This window comes from Homo sapiens, chromosome 2 (genome assembly GCF_000001405.40).
Source record: "Homo sapiens chromosome 2, GRCh38.p14 Primary Assembly".
NCBI classification, from domain to species: Eukaryota; Metazoa; Chordata; class Mammalia; order Primates; family Hominidae; genus Homo; species Homo sapiens.
In genome coordinates, this window is record NC_000002.12 from 43,327,869 (window position 1) to 43,352,069 (window position 24,201).

Here is a 24,201-nt window from a genome sequence, read left to right on the forward strand (position 1 = left end):
ACCCAGGATATTTTGTTGAGCTTCCCCTTCTCCCAGAGATCCCACTGGCCATCTTTGTAGTCTTGAGCACTTCACATCATTGTAACAGCTGTCCATGGACCAGATACTGCCTCTCCTTATATTTGGCTATATCCTGTGGATAGGAGTTAGGAGGTACTTCTTTTGATGGAGGCCACATTAAGCCATGTAAATGTGGAAGTATAAATTAAATAAAAAGAACCCACATCTGCCATTCCGATTTCCAATTTTTACCATGGCCCCCAGCCAAGTAACCATCATATGGCACTCTTAGACAAACAATAGGGGACTTGTTTAAATCAAAATGCAAAATGGTGATGAACTGTAGAATATATATATTTAAACAAGTCATTTCCCCCACTGTAACATGGAGAGTTTAGCTGTGCATGCAGGGCCAGCTGGCAGAAGCTTGTAGGGCCTGGCTGGCTACCAGGACTGCTCGTTTACCTTGCCCTCCCTGGGGGAGGTGTGACGGCAGAGTTGCATTTTTATGGTATGCCCCAACATCCATCCTGCCTTTCTTGGTCTGGAGCTTTGTGAGTGTTTATACTCACAGCCATATGTAGATGCTGCCCCACAGCCCTCCTACTTGGATTTTCCTTTTAAAGTGAAGCCATCCTCCATGCCCTGCTCTGGTGGTGGACCAACTTATACGGAATTCTTACTGAGCTACCATGCACAAAGTGAGAGACCGTGAGCTGTTAGTCTGTCCAGAAAGTGACTGAAGGTCCAGCTATGCATTGCAGAGCACAGTGGGCTTTCCCTGGAAGAGCAGGTTTGGATCCTGGGGAATGTAATCTGTGAAAGCAGAGGGCCTTACCCACTCCTACCAGGGTTCTGGGTAGGCATTCAGCAAGGCCCCAGCAGTCTGCAAAAGGTACTGGGGTCCTCTTTTTAGGTTAGGGCCAAAGCCACAGCCTCCTCTGTTTCCCTTAGGATTGCTGCTGCTGGAGGAAGCCCACAGCTTCAATGCCATGCCTTTGCCTTTCCCTCCTAATATTAATCACCTGCCTTTCCAGAGAGCCCCCAGGGAGCCTCCAGAATCCTCATATTTTTCCATCTTTCTATTAGGCATCTTGTTCTCATTACTGTACTAACACTCAAGCTATGTGCGGAGAATGATGAAAAAGAGACCTTGGTGTGGGGCTTGGGATTTGTTCAAAGCCTGGGGAAACTGTTTTAGAGGGTGTATGTTTTTTATTCCTTTTACGAGAGATGCGTGTTTCCCTCCCTCTGTGACTTGTTTAAAAGTAAAGTTTAATATGCTGCCAGAGTAATTGCTGGTTAATAACTTAATAAACTATGTGCTAGGAATTATGGGAGAAAAGTAGTATCCAAGAAAACTTTTATTGTACAGTTTGGGGCTTGGAAGATATATAGCTTCAAATCTTATATAGAATGTTAACACAAGTCCCCTTTCTTTTCAAACCTTACTTTCTCCCTAAAAGCATAAAAAAGGATAAATAGGTGAGGTGGATGAAATCTTCTGGATGCTGCCTGAGCTATGTAAATCACAAGGGGAGAATTTCTAACAGCACCGTCAATAGGACCGTGGTCATGTGAATTTGGCAAGGCACACACTTGGAAATTAGCCCTGGTAAAAATAGTACGAATGATAATAACAATATCAACATCTTATTATATTAAAAGTTTTCTCTTTAAAAAGTATTCTTATTTTATCTTTATAAAATTCTTAAGAAGGAAGAAAAATAGAAATTATCATTCCCATTTTTATAAATCAACAAAGTAGCTCAAGTGACCTAGCCAAGACAAGGGCAGAAACCAAGAATAGAATCAAGGTTTTCTAGAAAACAAATTGTATCTATGTGTCCCAAACACAATCAGGTGAAAAGTGAGACATTGGGCCAAGCAATTAGAAACCACGTAGACTGGTGTTATATCCTGGTAGCCAGTCTGGTGAAAAGCAAGGCTCCAAGTGCAGCTGTTTCTGTGAGGACCAGCATAAAGGCACATTTTCAACGTGGCGATTATGTTGATAGAGACTTCGTTATTTGACAATAGATAGTTCCCGTATCTTCTTAGCACTTTTATGTTTACACTTCCATTACTCACTATGCCCTCCCCTGGTCTCCTCTATTTCACACCTTCATTTTAGAGCTTCCCACTTTACAGATGAAAACTCAGGCCTAAGGAAATTACAGGCCACACCTTGCTGGGCAGTAGTCCAGCAGAGGCCAGACCACTGACTTGCTAACCTTGAGTATTCTCTGCCTCTCCTCAATGGCACTGCACTGTGTTTTCTGGCTAGAGGCTTTCCATTCACCAAGTGCCTCTAGATGTGACTCTCCTTGTGGTTACCCAGGAACGCAGAGCCTGCGGACTGGTGAGGACCCGTCTGGCTTGGGGAGTCCTAGAGTGAGCCCCTGAGCTTGCGTGGGAAGGTGTTATTCCCAGAGGCACCCAGGCCAGTCTAATTGCTGAGGAAGCCTGATCATCACTGGCAGCTGAGGGGAAGGAAAGGCTAGTGAGACTTAGGAGGGCCTCTCTCCAAGATGCTCCCTTGGCCCATTCATGTAAGACCAGCTCATGCTGCCCACAGCCCTTGTGGAGGTGGCCGAAACCCCAGCCACACGGGACAAATGTATCAGGGCTGAGCAGCTTAATATGAGGGCAGATGTGCTCCTGCCAGGCCAGCGCACTGCCGTAAAGCCTGCGTCAGTTACGGACTTCAGTTAAAGGTGCTGTCTCTACCAGGTCACTACTGGAAAACAGCTGTGTGACCCGGGAGAACAAACTTATTTACATATTAAAATTTAGGGACAGCCAGCCAGCTGAGAGTGAGGAAAAGGGATATAGAATAGTTAAGTTTTGATGGCAAGAAGGTCTGGAGCATGAAGCCCTATCCATGGAAGGCAGCTCCTAAGAGAGGGCCCTTGGCAGCCCAAGGACATGGAGTTGTAGAATTTTCCACAAGGATGATCAGGCCTCGGGAGAGGAAGAAAGCAGGTCAAGAGGCAAAAAACAAACTTGCTATTTACATCCCTAATTTGAGCCATCTTCTGAGACAGCCATATCTTTCAAGTAGGAAGAAGTCGCCTGCCCCCGTGTCTATTACCTCTTCTACAAATATCAGCTTAGATTAGATCACTGTTTTGAAATAGGGAGTTAGGGTGCTTCTCTTAGTCCCTTCTGGGGCTACCAACAGGAAGGAAGCCATGCAGGTGGGTCTCCGGGCCCCCACCCCAGTTTAGACCATATTGAAACCATCTCTACTATTTTCAATATCTTGAATTTCCACATAAGCTTGTTTGAAGAATGAATTCCACTGGATTAGACGATCTCTAAATTCCCTTTACTGTTATAAATTCTGTGGTTCTATGGTACTCTTAGCAACATTGGAAAGACAAAACCTATGTGGTCTCAAGTGCATACAGATATCTCTATTCCTATTACTAGCTGCCCAGGCAGGCAACAGGGGCTTCCAGGTGACAAGGACTGCTAATAGAGAGATTTCTGTTAATCCTTAAGAGAGACTAGAAACTCTGATGACCACTAAGCGAGGTTGGAAAGATGTAAAGCATTTAGTGCATTTCATGTGCATATAGACAGCAGCCTACTTACCAGTGTCAGCCAGAGCTCACTAACTTCCTCTTAACTCCTGGATCCAGTCCATATTCCTCTGGCTGACATCTGAGGGTTTCCACAACTGGTCTCTTATCAAATCTTGCACTGCTCTCTAAAGCACAGCAGCTTTCCCTCAGCTTGATCTCCTCACTGGCCCATGATACATCACATGCACTCCCTCCAGTATCCCACTGCACATTTGGTCCACCATCTTGATATGCTCTTTTCCTACCACTTTTTGGTGTTTCCAAATCACACTCTGCTCTACCGCCCATCTCAAATATCTAACTCCTCTGATAAGGCCTTCCTTGACTATCTTAGTCCACATTCTTTTCTGAACTCTTGTACTTACTGTATGTACTTCTATGTATTTCACTGTCTAAATTTTCATTTAGATTCAACCATAACTGAACTCTGACAACAAAGACTCCATTATATATATCTAATACACACACACACACACACACACACACACATTAGGTTCCCACAATGCTGGGCGCTGTACTAAGATACCTTTTGTGTACTTGGGCAATGAGACCTTCACAATTTACTTGGCAACAAAGGTACTATACAAGTGTAACTTTACTCAGTCTCCAATCTGAGACAATTAATCTTATTATTATTATTTTTTTGAGACAGAATCTTGCTCTGTCACCCAGGCCGGAGTGCAGTGGCACGATCTTGGCTCACTGCAACCTCCAACTCCCAGGTTCAAACAATTCTTGTGCCTCAGCCTCCCAAGAAGCTGGGATTACAGGCCCATGCCACCATGCTAAAAAATTAACCTTATCTAATAATTAAACTCACCTATCCTTTAAAGACTTCTCCCTCTTCCTGAAGACTTCCTTGACACCCCTACCCTGACAAGCTGGCATTTATTTCTCCCTTCTCTGCTTCTGCAACACACTTTGACTAATTCTAGCATTGACACAATCTTGTTTATAGTTATTTAAATCCATACTTGTCTTACTTGTGGGGTTTCTGAAACAGAGACAATTATCGTTCATTCATATATTTCCCACTGTGCCTAAACCATTGTCTTGTAATATTTGTGACTCTGAATTGGCTTTAATTGACTGAGAATGGCTCAATGAAGGTAACAAAGGTGTTAATTTATCCAAAAGATGGAAGATGTTACATGCTAAAGGAAAAAACATAACCCACTACATTAGGGCTTTACATAATATTATGAGAATGTGCTGAAGACACTTAAAGCCTGCACTCCCTTGCAAGCTGAGCAATGACAACATTGTCCAAATCTTCCAACAGCAACACCCCAGTAAGCCAACAGCTACAAGTGGAACAAGACAGAGATTTCTGAGCCCTCTATTGAACTAACTGCCATCTCCAGGTTAGGTTTGCAGATTTCTATATTTAAAAAGTAGAAAGCATCAGCAGTTGGGGGTTGAATTCTTGGTGTGTGTGCAGTTGCGTAAAAGGACTATTTTTATTTCTCGCTGCGGTATGAAGAAGCTTTGATCTTGGACGACTTGCTCAAGGGCCCAGGATAATATATTGATCACTTCTGACTGTTTTCACCCAGACTCGTTTCCATAAGCTCAGTCTGTCAACAAGAAATACTTCATATATTTTCAAACTTCACTCTTCCTCAAACAGCTTATTCCTTTAAAACTTGAGGCTGTATTTGTAAAAGGGATATTTAATGAAGAAAATGTTTTGCACCTTGTCCCACTGGCTTGGGTTGAAATACGATAATGTTTCCTTTTGTATTTAAAAAACACAAACAGGATCTCATCCGGAGATATCATGACCTTAGACATTCCTGAGACGTCTGAAAGGGAAGTGAACATATGTCAGCATGCTTGGGTTTAAAATATACCAACTTCATTTCTCTCATCATTCAAATCTGCATGAGGCTCATGTGACTTTGAACAAGCTGTGCTGGAGGATTAAAGACGGGTCCTAATGAGAACCTCTCTCTTCCAGTAAAATCTAGGAATTGAAAAGCAGTTACTACCTCTTCCATTTTTTTCCTAAAAAAAAAAAATAACTTTTTCTAAAATTAAAAAAAGGAGGATCCTTTTTTTTGAAAGAAAAAAAGAAGGAAAGAAAGAAAGAAGAAAAAACGAGAGAAAGAAAAGAAACAAACCAAAAGGCAAAACATAACCCCTAGCAATGCCTGGAAACTTGCTCTGTGGCTAGCGATCCCTGTTAAGACTTGCTTCCCTTAAAGTTTTGGCACGGACCACAAATGATAGCCTTAAAATGCCACATGATCATCTGAATATTTTAACAATCATCCTGGACTGGATTCATTTCAACGGCATGGAAGTGAAACAGCAACTTGCAGCTGTGGCAAAAGGCTGTGGCCTCTTTCTATTTCAAGTCATTGCAAAAGAAGGATCTCTTTCTTCAGGAGGGGACCAGCCCATGAGGGATTTGGGAAGGAGCTAAAGGACAGTGGGAAAATGGAAGCAGACCTAAAACCCAGTATTTCTGCCTGGGAAGTGTAAGTCTCTTGTGTGAATAAATTTGGTGGTGAGAAAATAAATGCTGTTTTCAGCTGTTGTAAAGCAAAATAGAATCCTACACCAGAACTTCTGCAGTTAGCCACAGACCCCCTAGGGAAGAACTGGGATTGCCACACAAAAGCCTCAGCTTTGTCTCTATAAGCATATTTTCCTTAAACACTTAAATCCACAGGCCCTTCAGGAGCACACCACTCAGCTCAGTGGGGTCCAGTAAGTAAGACAGAAAAAGGAGAATAGATGGGAGTATGGATAGGGGGTGACAGGGGAGGAGACAGGAAAGTGACTGGAGTATGGATGAGGGGGATGGAGAAGCAGACGAGGCACACATGAAAGGGCACATGGAGGACTGCATGGGGGTGTGAAGGGCACTTACAGGAAAGCTGGACAGGGAAGTGGATAGATTATTAGAATTAACTTGGGGTAGCAAGTCATTAGGTCTGGTACATTGAGCAGGCTTTCAACAAACATTAGCTCCCTCTACCATCTCTTCCCCTCATCAGCACTGTTTTATGCAAAAAATTTATTCCCAAGGTTGCTTTCCTTGTAACCTTGGAACCTGGTCTTGTATTTCTGAGAGCCTGTTTTTCTCACCAGAATATCAGACTGTTATTTTTAAAAATGATAAACACACTGCATGCCAACAAAGCACTGGTCCCAAAAAATTAGCCAGGCGTGGTGGCGGGCGCCTGTAGTCCCAGCTACTCGGGAGGCTCAGGCAGGAGAATGGCGTGAACCTGGGAGGCGGAGCTTGCAGTGAGCCGAGATCGCGCCACTGCACTCCAGCCTGGGCGACAGAGCGAGACTCCGTCTCAAAACAAAAAAAAAAACAAAAAAAACACTGGTCCCATACAGGGCACTGAGGCCACTGGGATGGCGGCCCAGACAACGGAGTATGGATTTCCCATAGAGAGCCCTGGGGCCATGAAGCCCCTCAACACAGGTGATCCCAGGTGGGTAGGGAGAGAATCTTGGGCTGATCCCTTCAGTAGCCTCAGCCCTCTCCTGTAGCTCCAAGCTCAGCCACAAGCCCTTGAGAATGAGGCAATGGGGATGGGACTGTTTCAAATGGGGGAGTTGGAAGATCACAGAGCCTGGCACTCTGACCCTGGCTCTTCAAGGTACGTACTCTGTCCCCTGGGAGCTGGTCAAAATGGAGGATCTCAGGCTCCACCCAGACCTAGTGAATGAGAGTCTTCATTCTAATAAGATTCCCAGGTGATTCACGTGCACATTTTCTTTCTGAGAATCACTGTTCTAGAGAAGGCTTAAATTACTGCCATGCAAAACCCTCACATAAAAACACTGGATAGATGGAGGCAGTGTGGTCAAGTACAAAGAGCCCAGTAAGGTGCCGGGAGCTAAGCCCTCAACAAATGATAGTAGTTGTCAGGTAGGATGTTAATTCTGGTGAACTGTGTGAAAACGGATAAATCCTCCAGCCTCTGTGGGCTGTAGTACTCCACATGTACAGGGGTGAGAGTAGACTCTTAATACAATAAACTTCATGAGATTCCTTCCAGTTCTAAAATTCTAGGTCAATGATTCGATTTGATAAGACTCTGTTCTGTTGCTCTCTTTACACTGAAGTAGTGGTTTTAATATACAGTTGTAGTATTTGATATGGCCTGGCATACAGCAGGGCTCAATAGGTATTTGTTGAATGAAGTAATACAGGGATAGTTATTCTATTTAAGCTTCAACTTAAAAAAACTGGGCTGAGTGTGGTGGCTCATGTCTGTAATGCCAGCACTTTGGGAGGCCAAGGCAGGAGGATCACTTAAGGCCAGGGGTACTAAACCAGCCTGGGAACAGAGCAAGCCCCTGTCTCTACTTTAAAAAAAAAAAAAAAAAAGGGCCAGGAGTGGTGGCTCACATCTGTAATCTCAGCACTTTGGGAGGCCGAGGCAGGTGGATCATGAGGTCAGGAGATCGAGACCATCCTGGCTAACATGGTGAAATCCCATCTTACTAAAAATACAAAACCTTAGCCGGGTGTGGTGGCGGGCGCCTGCAGTCCCAGCTACTCAGGAGGCTGAGGCAGGAGAATGGCGTGAACCCCAGAGGTGGAGCTTGCAGTGAGCTGAGATCATGCCACTGCACTCCAGCCTGGGTGACAGAGTGAGACTCCATCTCAAAAAAAAAAAAAGTTAGCCAGGTCCAGTGGCACACACCTATAGTCTCAGTTACTTGGGAGCTGAGGTGAGAGGATCACTTGAGCCCAGGAGTTCAAGGCTGCACTGAGCTATGACCATGCCACTGCATTCCAGGCTGGGTGACAGAATGAAACCATGTCTCTCAAAAAAACCATTTTTTTTTGTTTGTTTTTGAGACAGAGTCTCACTCTGTCGCTCAGGCTGGAGTGCAGTGGCGCGATCTCGGCTCACCGTAAACTCCGCCTCCCAGGTTCAAGTGATTCTCCTGCCTCAGCCTCCCGAGTAGCTGGGACTACAGGTGCATGCCACCATGCCTGGCTAATTTTTGTATTTTTAGTAGAGATGGGGTTTCGCCATGTTGGCCAGGCTGGTCTTGAACTCCTGACCTCCGGTGACCCACCTGCCTCAGCCTCCCAAAGTGCTGGGGTAACAAGTATGAGCCACTGCACTCGTCCCCAATTTTTTTTTTTTGAAGTGCCATAAGCCTCCACAACAATCAACCACTAACCACACCACAGTATCAGGTTTAAATGGTACTTCTGAGGGCCAGTGAGATAACTTGAAATATCTGAATCAGAAACTCTGAGGGTAAGGCCTGGCATCACAGGTTTTAAAACCTCTCCAGATGATTCTAAAAACGCAGCCATGAACATTAAGAACTAGCATCAGCCAATCTGCTACTTAATAAATGCCAATAGCAAGGGATACAAACTCCTGTTTCCATGGGAGCTCAGGTAACCTAATGAGAGACGCGGCTGGGCGGGGGCCGTGCAGAAGCACAGAGTATACTCATCAAGGGAGGATGGCTGGGACTTAGCTCTGGCCCATTGTGGCCACGTGGGAATTTGAGCCTGGTGGTGCCAGATCTTCCAGTTTTTCAAAAGAAGCTGTAGATCTTGATTTACTATGAAATTTCCTCAGTTTAAAATGTCAGCAAATTATTTAAAAAAAGAAATGTAAATCCTCCACAAGTCAAACAAAACACAACTATGGCCAATCTGACCCGAATGCACTGTCAGTTTGAGCCCTCTGGCTGACACTGCACAGCAGGCCTGGGCCTGAGCAGCACCCCAGGGAGGGTCCAGGGGAAGACCCCTTTTAAAGAAGACAAAACAAAATGCTAACGCAGGGCCATCTCTGTTTGGTAATATAGAAAGTAAAAACTGAAGAACAATCTGTACCCGTTTGACTTATCTGTTAACTCATGCCAAGCTGAAATGTTAACTAAAATGGCTGTGAGGCATGTGGTGTGTCTCCCCAGTTGTTTTCACTGTAGAAAAGATTTTTTTATATTAAGGCAGTTTTGAGAAGAGTTAATGAAATAATATTTACAAATCTCCTCATACGAAGCTTGGCACAGAGTAAGCATTCAAAACGTAAAAGTTTCCTCAACTGAATTTTTTATATCTTAGTTAAAATTTTGGTGGAGGTCTCTCACGCACTGTTGGTAGGCAGATGGACTTTTTTAGAAAACAATCTGGCAGTGTATACCAAGACTTTTTCCATTTCCCCTTGACCAATTTATTCCACTTCTGGAAATCAAACCTAAGGCAATAACCCACAATCACACACACTCATACACACACACACACACACACACACACCACACTCATGTACAAAGATTTTTCTGAAACATCATCTACGACACTAAACAAATGGGAAACAAACTGTATGCCAGCAATGGTTAGGTAAATTTAATGAGTAATTATTCAGGTGACAAAAATATGCTACCTTCAAAAATGATGTTTTCAAAGTTTTTTTTTCTTAATTGAAAAATAGGCAAAAGTATTTTATTTTTAGAGATGCACAGGTGGTAAAACTAGGAAGAAAAGCAAAGAAATAATTATCATAAAATGTCAAGACAATGATAACTTCAGATGAATGATGGGGTATATTTTCTTTTAAATATTTTCCATTAAAATGTTTTAAATTGTGATGAAATATACATAATATAAACTTTACCATCTTATCCATTTTTGAGTGTACAGTTTGCTAGTGTTAAGCACATCCATATTGTTGTGTAACAAATCACCAGAACTTTTTTTTTTTTTTTTTTTTGAGACAGAGTCTCCCTCTGTTGCCCAGGCTGGAGTGCAGTGGCACGATCTCGGCTCACTGCAACTTCCATCTCCCAGGTTCAAGCGATTCTCCTGCTTCAGCCTCCCAAGTAGCTGGGACTACAGGTGTGCGCAACCACACCTGGCTAATTTTTTGTATTTTTAGTAGAGATGGGTTTCACCATGTTGGCCAGGCTGGTCTTGAACTCCTGACCTCAAGTGATCTGCCCACCTCGGCCTCCCAAAGTGCTGCGATAACAGCTCTAAGCCACTGTACCCAGCCTCCAGAACCCTTTTCATTCTGTAAAATTAAAACACTATATCCATTAAACAATGCCCCATTTCCTCCTCTCTGTAGCCCCTGGCAACCACTATTCTACTTTCTGTCTCTAGGTCTTGACTACTCTATGTACTTTGTATTAGCAGAATCATATAGTATTTGTCTTTTTGTGATTGGCTTATTTCGCTTAGCATAATTTCTCCAAGATTCATCCATGTTGTGGCATATGTTGGAATTTCCTTCCTTTTCCAGGCTAAGTAATATTCTGGTGTATGTATATACCACATTTTGTTTATCCATTCATCATTCATCAATGGACACCTGAGCTGTTTCCATGTTTTAGCTATTGTGCATAATGCTGCTATGGAAACCTCTTTGAGACCCCACTCTCAAGTCTGTTGGGTATGTATTCAAAAGTGGAATTGTTGGATTAACATAGTAATTCTATTTTCAATTTTTTGAGGAAATATCATACTGTTTTCCACAGTAGCTGTATCACAAAGAGTTTGAAATAATAACAAATGCTCTCATGATACTATCGAGTGAAAAAAGGAAGGAAGCTATAACTTACATATACAGTATAGCCTTGACAAAGTTAAAAAAAAGCATAGGAAAAAAGATGAAGGAATTACATACAACTCTTAACCAATAATAGTGATTTATGGATTGTGGTAAGAATAGACTTTTACTCTCTTCCAAATTTTGTACTTGACTAATTTTCTATGATAAGCATATAGCAGCACACAACAATGAAGGGGAAAACGGTGAAAAAATTTTAGTAGGGCACATATTTATTTCTGGTTATCACATCCACTGCATGCATGCATTCATTCATTCATTTTCTTGAGACAGAGTCTTTCTCTGTTGCTCGGGTTGGAATGCAGTGGCATGATCTCAGCTCACTGAAACCTCCGCCTCCCAGGTTCAAGCGATTCTCATGCCTCAGCCTCCCAAGTAGTTGGGACTACAGGCGTGTGCCACCACTCAGCTAATTTTTTGTATTTTTAGTAGAGATTGGGTTTCACCATGTTGGCCAGGCTGGTCTCAAACTCCTGGCCTTATGTGATCCACCCACCTTGGCCTCCCAAAGTGCTAGGGTTACAGGCATGAGCCACCGCACCCAGCCCTGACTAGTCCATTTAGTTCACTAAGTTTACCAAAAGAAACACACATGCAATATATAAACATACACATACACACTTATTTTTTTCCTTTTATAACCAAAGAAGGAGAAACTAGATAGCCAAATTCACTTCTGAAAAGTTTAAGCCTAATATAATACTAATTACAACTCTTAGCCAAAGTAAATAAGCGATCTAGCTGGGACAGCTGAGCTGGAATCTGCAAGCAGCAAGGGTGGCAGGGCATGGGGCTCATGTCTGTAATCCCAGCTTACTTGGAAGACTCTGGTGGGAGGACTGCTTGAGCCCAGGAGTTCAAGTCCAGCATAGGCAACACAGCCAGACCTCATCTCTAAAACTAAAAAATAAATAAATAAATAAAAAACTTAAAAAAAAAAGTTTTTGTAATTAGCATGAGTGTCAGACTGGGTGATTCCTCTCTCATGATGCCCACTGCCATCCTTTCCAGGACAGCAGCAGATCCCTACTAGACGGCTACTCTCATTTCGTTTCTGGTCTAGGTCAGTTTAGTTTTCTTTCAGTAGTTAGTAAACTGCTTTAGACAGTAAACTGGATCAAGAAGGGAGGAGTGGAGGAAAACAGGAAGGAAAGGACTTGAAGGATTAATGAGCTGATTTCCATTAAGGCTTTGACATCCTGGAATGAAAAGCAGCCTGTAAGAGCAGAAGCCCAGTCCTTTCCTGAAGCCATGTTGCCAGCTGACCACTCATCACCAAAAATTCCCCAACAACTCCATGGCTATTGCTTAATCACCTCATATAAATCCCTATTAATCTTGCAAAGTCAAAACACAAATATAGGACAAAAGTCTTCATTTTATGTTCCCTCAATTTCAGAGTCAAAATTTAAAGACTGAATTGGTTATCCAATAGTGCCAATCAATTTTTTAAAAACTTTCTTTGAGAACAAAAGGACAAATACATATCCACTAGCATTTTTGTACTTATGGGACTGAAGAAACTCAGGCTAATGATCAAATAAATTAGGGAAGGAAAAGGGTGTCGGTGTTAAAATTTAAGGCAACATTTTTTTCTTTGCAAAAACATTAATTTTTCATAGCTTATATTCAAAAGATACAGAAAATCCTTAGTAGACTCAAAGGAACATTTATTTTTCTTTCATGTGTAAATTACCAGGGACATAAAAAAGCCTCTTCAGTAGTTGAATTTGGAATACTCTGCACTGTAATATCTTCATGGGAAAGGCAGGTGAGAAAGTAAAGACAGGGGTCTGTTCTGAGAAGGGACCGCTAGGACGAGAGGGGGTGTGTCTGAGCATGGAGTTAACTAGTATAGACAGACAACTCCCAGAACAAGAGGACCTCAGGGACAGGGCAGGCATGTGACACCGAGGCTTCATCACTTATACCCAGTTCTATAATTTGCTATTTAGGAACCTCAAAGTTATCCTGTCAATGATGTGGATAATATAGAAAAACTGATACATAGCTTTGGAATGCATTGTGCTGTCTGGCAGTATGTTTTCCTTCCAAACTCTATTTCAGGCTCTGAACACATTCTGATTAACACTTGTAAAAGTGTGCTGGGGAGCAAAAGGAAGCCTGGTGTTAGGAACCATTTACAGACCACCCACAAAGCGGAAAGTTCACACTTGGATAATAGAGAGTTGACTGTACTGGAAACAGAAAAGTGGCTGTCCTACATTCTGGGCAAGGAAGGTGGAAACCCAGTAAATTGCAGTGATTCATTCCTTTGTCTTCTAGAGCTGGAAAATCATGGAGAAAAATCAGAAGTGGGGTGGGGAGCAGAGGGAATGAGAATGGAAAGCCCAATTAGAAAACAGCAATAGGGACCACAGGACAGGTTTTAAAAGGCCAGGAGGACTTCCCTTCCTCTTAGCTGCAGAGGAAGCTGATGGCAGCTTTGTCAGCCATCTTCAGGCACTGCACAACATGAAGGTCCACTCAATGGCTGGCCTGCCGCTCCATCTCCTCCATCTCATCCAACAAGAGGTAATGGACTCAGGAAGCCAGTGGATAATGACTTTCTACGAGATGCATGAAGGAGTAGCAAGCTAAGGGGGCAGAAACTCCTTCCTTACAGCACTTTAAGAACTAGAGTGTTAGGATACTTGGGACAGTCCTGGCTAGAAGCAGGTTTCAGAGGATAATTTCTGGACAGCTCTGACTTCTTGATCCCCAGAAATAACAGGTAGGAAGAAGTGGCCTATTACCTGGCAAACAGCTGAGGGTACTGATGTGATATGTATCTTTGGGATGCTAAGAGCCACACAGAAGGCAAATGGTACTAGGCGTGGGTAAACACTTCATGGGTAAGCAACTCCTACTCTCTAAATAAAATGGAGAAAACAAGTTGGGTGCAGTGGCTCACATGCCTGTAATCCCAGCACTTTGGGAGGCCGACGCAGGTGGATCACCTGAGCTCAGGAGTTCGAGACCAGCCTGGGCAATCTGTTGAAACTCCTTCTCCACCAAAAAACCCCACAAAAATTAGCCAGGCATAGTGGCGTGTGCCTGTAGTCCCAGCTGCTCAGGGGACTGAGGCGGAGGGATCACTTCAGCCCCAGGAGGTCAAGGCTACAGTGAGCCGTGGTAGCGCCACTGCACTCTAACCTGGGTGACAGAGCATGACCCTGTCTAAAAAAAGGGAGAATAGACTAACAGACTAAAAATGAGAGGCTCCCAATAACTTTACCGGCATTTCAGACACAAGATAATTTCTCCATCAATATCCCTATCCAAAGCTATTAATGTTGAGACAATAATTGAGATACACACATCCACACATTGGGAAATCCACCGCTGGCTCCTTCACCAAAAGGTTTCTTACAGGAGCTTTCACTGTGTGGCCTGGGCATATTTCCTGAGCCCCATTCTCTGCCACTTGTGCCTTACACTTTAGGTTCCAGAGGGCTAACTTCCTTATGGTTCTGCAAACCTACAGTGCCGTTTCATATTGCTGTGTCTCTGCCTATGCCGTTACCTAAGCCTGGAATTCCCCTACCTGTGTTGGCCACTTGGCAAAATTCTGGCTCACTCTTGATGGCCAGTTTGATGTCAGCCCTCTCTCACCCCTCTTCTGGCGTAATGCTGTACCTACTACAGACATTTGTTATAATACTTAATATACCAGATGAAAATTATTTATACACGTCTTTCTCACTTCCTGGAAGTCCCTGGAGCCAGGACTAGCTCTTTTATATTTTTGTATCCCTATATCTCCTAACACAAAGGCTAGCAGGTAGCCTGTGCTCAACAATGCTTTGTTGAATTAAACTGATTTGAGAGCCTCACACAGCCCATTACTTGACTTGCCACAGAAGGTAAGAGCCCAACAAAAGTGACCAAAAGCACACTTTTTGAAAAATAAAAAAGAGAGGCTTCTACTTTAGACAGCCAATATACTTTTTTCTTTTTTTTTCAACTTGTTTGTTTCTCAAACTCTAAGCATCAGAAATTTATTTATTTTTGAAACAAGGTCTCACTCTGTCACCCAGTCTGGAGTGCAGTGGTGCAATCACAGCTCACTAGAGCCTTAAACTCCTGGGCCCAAACCATCCTCCTGCCTTAGCCTCCCAAGTAGTTGGGACTACAGGCATGCACCACCATACCTGGCTAATTTTTGTTGTTGTCGTTGTTTTGTAGAGATGGGGTCTCGTTATGTTGTCCAGGCTGTTCTTGAACTCCTGGGCTCAAGCAATCCTTCTGCCCTAGCCTCCCAAAGTGCTGGGATTACAGACATGAACCACCACACCCGGCCAATAAACTGACTCTTAATTAAATGCGTGTACTATGGCAGGAAAGGTAGTAACACTAACACATGCGCCTCTTCTGGAGCTACTCTGGTGGAACTTACAGAGGACCTACGGAGGGCCTTTGCAGTTAACACTATCCTACCACCACCAGAGTCCTGCAACACAGATTTTGAACATGGCATTACAGAGAGGACTCCCTGTATATTACATGAGAAATTCCTTTTACTCCTTCATCTTTCACACAGTAAATGTTCTAAGTTCCAGGATAAACTAACAATGGCAAGGATGAAAAATATGTTTCTATTCTTTTTTGCCTTGCTTATTCAAGCTACCTTACTACCCACCTAAGAAAGGCAACTTCCATCCCCTCTTGCTATTCACACCCTATCTGTCCCTCAGTGCCTGCTCAAGCCTACAGCAATCTCTAATCTCTGAGTTGCCACGGCACCTAAGAGTCTGTACCACATGATTTAGTCAATTACTGCCTTTCATTGTTATAATATCTAACACAGGACTGGGCACGCAGCAGGTTTCAACAAAAACAAGCTGATTGGTGGGCAGACAAAAAGCCATATTACATGCCCCTCAGTCACTTAGCAGTTTTAGAAAAATTGTCAAGAAAATATTTTTCTTTCTTTACCACAACCCAAAGTTCTAAAAGGATAAATACTCCAATAAGTTTAGAAAACTCATGCCAATGACTTTTAAAACTCCCCACAACTAGAAACAGCAATTCTCAAATGTATTCCTAACCCCTGATAACTCCTTGCTCATGTGGGATTTTAACATACCTCTTGGCCAGCCAGAGTTTGGCTTTGGTACAAACAGTGATGTCAGTCAGCTCGTGCTGGAAGTCTGAATTCGTTCCGTGTTTGGAGTCTGAGTAGGCTTGCAACAAATGAAAAACCTAAACCAAAAAAGAAAAAAAAATCCTGCTGTGAAAATATATTTTTCCTAAATGCTCAGTTCCTCCCTTTTAAGTTTCCTTAAAATGTTCCCCTCAAAGAAAACAGACACCTGCAGAATGTAGCTCTGGTCTCTTTGCAGAAAGGCATGTTGGTTTTGGAGGATGTAGCAGTGCCGAGAAACCCAAGTCCTTAATCCATACTTTGCTATGGGTTTCTCACACAATCCCCAAAACTGATGACTGTGGCCCAACAATCATCTGCCACAAGAGTTTATTAGTTACAAACAACCTATACACTGATTTCAGCAAAGAAATGCAAACATCTTTATGTTAGCTGTCGCACATGAAAATAAAATGTGCCTTTTAAAGTCAAAGTCTTAAATTTAAAGAAAAATACATTGTTTGAGAGTCTAAACTGGTTTACATGTCTGAGTTCATTAGAACAGTCGTGGCTAAAGAAGTAGGTCAAACTAATTCTTGCCTTAGCAAATACTGGGCAGTGATGTTTGTAACTATTTAGGGTTTTTTTTGTTTTTTTTTTTTAGCAGATCTTCCCTTCGATGTCAGGAGTGAATGCAGCAATGCAGACGTGCCCCACTTATACAAGGATACTCGTGTATATGCATGTATGCACGTATGTATGTACTGGATTCAGCAATGACATCCGCAAAGCCTCTGTGAGGAGTACAAATCTATAGCAGACAAAGAATAAGGACAAGGGCATAAATGAGATCTTTTGACCTTGGCTAGTGCCAAGGAGAGAAATGCAAGTCAAGAGAAATCCTTCAGTCTCCAGCCTCCTTATCTAAATCAAGAGGAAGAGGTGGGTGTGGCAAAGTAAGCATAGATAAACACACTAAGAACTCTGAAAGTCTATTTTAATAACATCTGTTTTCTTTCCCTATTATATCCTTCTCTAGAGCTGTGAATGATTCTTTCTGTGTAACCAGATTCAACGTTTTCCTCTCTTTCTCTCCTATCAACAATGGGCTGACAATAGTGAAATAATTGAGAGTTAGATACGGAAGGGGGTAATGAGAAACAGAAAAGGCCAGATAAAATCAATCCAGAGTCATCAGACCCTAAATGGGTAGACTGGCAGGTTTTACTGGGTCAGACGTCTGCAATCACCAACAACAAATACATGCCAAGCACCTTCTGTTTAGAGAATCAAAATAAATTTCTTCTAAACAGAAGTAACTGTACAGGAGAGTGCACACAAGTCCCAATGTGGAGACTGAAAATGCTTTGTCTAATAATGGATCTGTTATTTCAGAAGCAACAGATCAAATGTCATGCCTTCACCACACCCCCGCAGGGACCCAAACCACCCGACGTGGAGTCTGGAGCAATGGGTCTGGCTGGAGCTTCTGTTCTTATGTGGTGACTGCCAGAGGGAAAAAATACCTTCCTCAGCCTGAATCCCCACTGTCCTGAAAGAGCTGGCAAAGTCACTGGGCTTTGCTTTACTTTTCTCTACAGCTGCACAAAACCAACCACCAGGGCTTTTCATGGTGTCACAGGATCGCAATTAATCAGCAGACACCAGCAAAATGCATGACTTCGGAATTTACTTGTAAAGAAACCTGTGAGATTTTCAAATGCTTCTCATTTAGAAGCAATCACTTCAAAAATAACTCCTGATGGATGTTTAAACTTAGTCCTATATTTGCTCACCTTACTTGGCAAAAACAAGACTGTTTTTGAAACGCTTGGTAGCTCTGGTTTATGAAAATCAGCCTACAATTCTGTCACATTGGGTACAAACCAGACAATTGTGACCCTGGTTATTCACCAGGAATGGAGAGCGATCTATTTACACGAGACAAATGGAGAGCCAGGTACGCTGAAAAGAACTGTGGCGGAAATAAGCATGTCAAAGGGCCAGGGTCAGAGAAGTCATGGAAAAAAATGGGGCAGGGAAGGAGAGGGAGAAGAGAAGACAGGGGAAAGAGAAAGGAAAGAAAGTTTTATAAGCAATTGTATGAAACAGGTTAGTGTTTTTGAGATATTTTTCTTTAAGAAAATAAAAATATTTGAATACACAACTAACCTCATAGACATTTAGTGTGTTGGGTTCAAGAAAAATGAGACCATCCTTTGGCATGAGGTCCAGGTATAAGGCCAGGCCCTTTGAAACTAAGATTTGATCAAGGTCAGACTCAGGAGCTCCGGCAGCTCCCAAGAAGGGCAATTTGTCCACCAGCTCTTAAAGGATGGCAAGTAGCAAGGCAACTCTTTCTTCCTCACTTTCCTAAAGTTCTGGTCCCAAAGAATTCTGAGGCTAAGAAAGCAGTCAGACCCAGGCCTGTACTGAACCAAGCACAGAGAAACCAAAGCTGCCAGAACCAAGGAGGATGATTAACTGCCAACACACATGAGAACTCAGAAGTTCAGTGTCATTTTATGTGTCCTAAATTGGCAAACATTGTCAACAAATATTTATTAAACAACTCTTATTACCAGGCACTGTCCAAGGGGCTGCAGCAGAGACCAGATAGTTCCTTGCTTTCCTGTAGCTTACATTCTAGTCATGGAGACATGAAAAATCAATAGCTTTCCTGACTCTGCCTGGTCATGATTTACAACCTGCATGGCAGCATCGTCATCACTTTTGTTTGTATGCTTGACCTCCCCCTCCAACAAGTCTGATGCACTGTAGGAATTCAACAAGCATTTGCCAAATAAAAACGATGTTGGTGTTTGGTGCTTCTTCCTATATTCACTCCTTTAGGACACATTCCCTTGGGTTTTGTGAGCTATCGTAGTGCCGACTTCTGTGTCTGGAGTGGAACGGAGAGCTGAATCACGCCGTACTCCTCATCCCAGTGGATGCCTCATCTGATGGTGGAGGCAGGAAGGCTAGATTAGTGCTAAGAATCCAGCCTCATGGGAAAGTGGAAGAGCATGGATTTTGAAGCCGGGCAGAGATAGGTGTAAACCAGTTATCAGTTTTGCGGCTTTGGGCAACTTAACCTCTGTTTCTCCATGGTAAATGGCGTATAATAATATCTAACTTGTAGGACTGTAGAGAGATTTAAAAGAATATATATACTACTAGGCACGCACTAGGGAAGTGATAACAATGTTGATTCTTTTCCATGTTCTGTCTGCTCCCTCTCTTCCAGCCCCATTCCAAAAATAAACAGTCAGAGAAGACTTTGCAGAAAGAGTGATATGCATACGTGGCCTTAAAAACAGTCTTGCCAGAATCGAGGGAAGGGTATGCAAGCAGTGAAAACAATTAAAACACATTTTAAGGGTATTAAAATATTGGTAATGCCAACAAAAAGAGTGAATCTTAAACTATGGACTTTAGTTAATAATAATGTGTAAATACTGCTTCATTAATTGTAACAAATGCACCACATAAATACAAGATATTCATAGTAGGAGAAAATTGGGGGAAAGAGGTGGGGAGGAGAAAAATATTTGGGAACTTTCTGTATTACCAGTTCAATTTTTCCCTAAATCTAATGGTTCTAAAAATAGTCTCTTAATTTTTAAAAATATTGGTACTACTCAGGGGACAACAAGTGGTCCTGTGTGCGCAGAGAACAGCCAGGGTGTGCACAGGGTGGTGGCAGACACAGCTGGAGAAAGGAGTCGGGTCTAGTCAGACAAAGACCTTAAAGGCAATGTCATGGAATGTGTACTTTATTCTGCAGACGGCAAAGATTTCTTCAGAGAGTGCTGTTGGGTGATGAGATCTGTAACTTGGAGAAAAAAGCCAGGGGCAGTGTGGAGGTCATAGCAGAAGGGGTGGAATGCCCAGGACTACTGTAGTAGTCTAGACAAGAGGAGGGGAGGGTTGAAACCAGCGGCTCAAAACCAATAGCCTTTGGGCCAAAAGTGGCTGCAGATGTTTTATTTAGCCCATACAGTACTTTTAAATCAACCTTTATGAATTGGGATATTTCACATTAAAGTCATCCTGATTTCCATTTTGAAAAATTAGATCTGGCTATAGCGGCCCACCTTCCTGTAGGGCAAACAGTCACCTGGCCGGAGCTGAGCAGCAGGAGCTGGCCCCGGAGATGAGAACTGCACTCTCTAGACCACCGCTGTCACCACTATTACTATTGCCTGTTACTCTAGTCACTAAGACGGAGGGTCAATGCCATTTATCAAAGCTCTTAGGCTTTTTTGTTTGTTTGTTTTAAACTTTCGGAGAATCAAGAAAAAAATAAAATACTTACTGAACCCAAATCTCTACTAAAAGTTTGAAAACAAAGAATGGGCAGAGAGCCCCTGTGTTTATACTCATCCCCCTTTGGTTCACTTACCTGCCTGGCACGGGTAGGATTCTGATTTTGTGACATCTCCACCCCACCCCAATCTAAACTAAAACAGCAATGGAAGGAGAGGAAAGGATACATCTGAGAGAGCTTCTGCGGGCTGCAGAGGCAGGGCTTGGCAACTGCTTTAGACATGGAGTTAAGGCGCAGGAAAGAGCCTCTTAACTTGGGCAGCTGGTGAACAAGGGGCATCTTTCAAGATGGAGATTATAAGAGAATCTACAGCAGGCTTGGGAATGAGGGAGGGGAATTAATGAGTTTGGTTGGGAATATCCGTGTGATGACTGCTTTACTTAGGATAATTTATGTCGCAAAAAAGAATTCTTCAGGGACAAAAGGGAGCTCTATTAATAATCACACTGGGAAAAACAGAGGACAGATGCTTACCCCTAGCTGTAATAGGTCCCTTGGAGAAGGGTTAGAGGTGGACATAGGGGTCATCAGCACAAGAAACAGGAGAAAGCTTTGTTGCCCTAAGATGGTTATGACCCAATCAGAAAAAGACTGAAAGCACATTATGAAACAAACAAGTACAAGCCAACAGCATCATCCATGACTATCATAGGCATGGAACTGCCAAGAGATGGGACTGTCAGCCCTGCCCTGAGGAGGGGGTGGTCATGGAAGCAGCTGGGAGGAGCAGGGAATGCACTGCAGGAGGGTGTCAGTGAGTAGGCTGATTTCTTGCCCCTGAGATGCAAGCCTTAATGAAAGTTTGAGGGGAACTGAGAAGTCTGGAGAACCTGGAAGCAGTTACCCTCTGTCCCTCACCCCTCCACTCTAAACACAGAGAGACTCAGGGGAGCCCCAGGCATCTGTGCAAAGCATGGGGTCCATTTTGGCAGCTTTGAAATGCTCTTTGAATAAATGCCATGGGCCTAAAAAGAGACATGAGGCAGTTCCCTGAAAAAACTTGCACTGCACCAGTAAAATATGTCTAGTTTATGCTGCTGGACTAAAATAGCAACTTGTGTTAGACAAGATCAAGATGATATATGGTTGTTTGGGAATGCAACGCTGAGATGGGTTTTCCTCTTCACCAAGCATGGCTTCCAGGCAATTTTCCCCCTTATAAAATCAACAGCAGCTGAGCTCCAGAAACCAGCAGGATCCAGCAATAACAGGACAAGGTTAGACAGGCTATGAAAAAAGACAACTCTAATAAGAAAAGAGATGCTCATTTCAAAGGTCAGATATAAATGGGGGAAATGTATCGTAATCATTAAAAACCTCAAATTCTGAAGATTAAAAAACCTGTCCACTTTTGCAACTGTATTTTCTTAAAAGCAAATGCTATGTTTTTCCCTTGCTGCATGCAGACTGCAGGTGAATATTTTTGACCCTATCACCTTCAGCCAAGTATAAAATTTCTGTATCTGCCATTTTGCCTAGTTTTCTCCCTGCACTGCTTCAACCCCCAAAGCTAAGTCAGTGCCACATTTTCCTTAGTGTTTACACAGGATTTTATTTCGACTGGTAAAACATCTGTATTTTTTCAGGGACTTAAATAAATGATCTATGCTGGGAATGTACAGTATAGGGTGATGTCAGGCCCCCTTTTTTTCTCGACTCACTGGGTAGAACAGGCAAACATTGTTTCAGCCTGTAGTTGGGAATGTGAATATTTATCCTGTCGACTTAATTCATACAAACAGAACTGCAGGCAGGCAGGCAGAAGTATTTTATGGCTCTAGGTCAGATTGAAAGGGGGTAAAAGGGTAAAAGGGAGATGACTGAGGGAGGAATCTAAACTTTCTAATTCACAGAAACAAGCCCAATCACATCACTGCTGGGAAACAGATACAGCAAAAATTATTCAAAATGCAGATTGTGTTTGTATGTGAGTGGAGGGCAAGGTGGGAAGGCAAGAGAGAGAAAGGTCTCTAACAATACAGTATGTCATTTGCAGTCATTCCAGTGTGGGCTAGGATTTGTTTTCCGCTTCAGGCATATTAACTGAACCCCAACTAGGCCGTAGGCCTCTCAGGAGCACCCCTCTTGCCTCTGACTTCCACAATGCAGGGTGCCATGCTTACTGGGTATAAGTACCTACTTATATCATCTGTTCAGAGCTCAACATGTTGTTTTTTATTCACAGCCCAACTGGGCTAGAGCCGGAACCTTGGGATACCTGAATTCCTCAACCTGGTCATTCCCCAGAAGAAAGTGCTTGGTGGGCACTTGCTGTCCACATGAATCCACCAATCTGCTAGAGGGCCAGCCAGGAAGCATTTCATGTGGTTGCTTCCCTAAACTTCAACCTGTTTATTGGGTAAGAATACATCCTTAGGATGGTCTTGCTAAGTCCCCAAAACATGACACCTTACTGTGTTGTGTGTTGCTGCCAGGAAAAGGATGCTAAGTACAAAGTGTAATTACTTCCTAGCTGATTCTAGTTTGGGGAGAGAATCACAGGAAACAGGCCGTGAATATCTTTAAGGACTACAGTGTACAAAAACACAAAGCCTGCTGGGGACTGGAAATTCACTTTGGGCCTCAAATCCATCCCCTCCTTTCTATTAACACTCCCACTATTTTAGTTCAGGAGCAAGAAGACTTTGCACCCAGATGCTAAAAACAACTTAACTGCCTGGTCTCTGCCTCCAGCACTTATTTTACAAATGGCCAGCAAAGAAATATTCCTAAAGCCAAGCTCTGAGGACATCACTCTCAAGTTCAAAATCCATCAATGACTTTCAACCTCCTAAAGAATGTGCTGGCACTAAAGGCTCAATCTACCTTTCCAGATTTAATTTCTGTTTCCTCCACTTTACGAACCTATTCTGTGGCCACAAAGAACAATTTCCCATTCGTAACAACTTACAAATGCTTTCCTGGCCAGGACGTTCCATCATTTGTCTCCCCACCTTCTCCAACTCCACCTACTGAAATTCCATTAATAAAGTAAGGCCCAGCTTAAACGTCACCTTCCCCATAAAACTCTCCCCAGCTTTCCTCAACTACCCCCACTCCCACCCTAAAACTCACTGTTTTTCTCTTCAGTGCTCCAACATCTCCTTTAATTTGATGATTTTAAAAAACTGTTTAATCCCATCATCATGGTTATCAATCTATACTATCCTTTTCTAGAGTATAGAGCTCTTTATCTGGCAGGGAGAGGGGCTGAAAACAGAGGATTCATTGATTCGGAATTCTACCACGGTCTTGCTAGGGGTGGCAGAACAGAAGCTGCATTTGCAGCAGCAGCTGGGGTGCTAAAAGTCACCTCTGTAAACTCTGGTCACACCAAGGTGTTGGGGGAAATAGTATTGACAAGAGAGAAAGTATACATTTGTCTTGGATAATCTCTCACCTATTGTTCTAAATTCTATAAAGTAATTATGAGTTCCTTCACAGGGGAGACTTGTCAAGGGCCCCCAACAAGGGCCCCCAAGCTGTTCGTAAGGGCAAGGTTTGGACAGTGGTGTCAGATAGTCAACCTTAACCCAACATACAAATGAAGGCCTGCATATGAAGAATTTAAAATTAACTAAACACTAACATAATACCTGCTCTAACTAAAAAGCTTCTAAT

The 24,201-nt window shown here is 42.9% G+C and overlaps 1 protein-coding gene across 7 annotated transcripts in view, besides 1 other annotated feature; it reads right to left on the reverse strand.

The window, feature by feature from the left end:
• THADA (THADA armadillo repeat containing) overlaps positions 1-24,201 on the reverse strand; it is a 365,188-nt gene that overhangs the window by 97,018 nt on the left and 243,969 nt on the right. For 6 of the 7 annotated variants that reach the window (NR_073394.2, NM_001345924.2, NM_001345923.2 and 3 more), the window contains one exon: positions 16,254-16,369. The exons of the other annotated variant lie outside the window; for it this stretch is intronic. Coding sequence is in view for 5 of the 6 variants with exons in the window: in NM_001345924.2 (NP_001332853.1) it covers positions 16,254-16,369 (116 nt within the window). In the remaining variant the exon portion in view is untranslated. The remainder of the gene's footprint in view (positions 1-16,253; positions 16,370-24,201) is intronic. 7 annotated transcript variants of the gene reach the window in all.
• Positions 9,120-9,209: an enhancer, noted in NCBI's record as "active region_15669". NCBI's record gives its function as "activates an Ori minimal core promoter by ATAC-STARR-seq in GM12878 lymphoblastoid cells {active_cell/tissue: GM12878}" and the evidence as "EXISTENCE:reporter gene assay evidence [ECO:0000049][PMID:35858748]".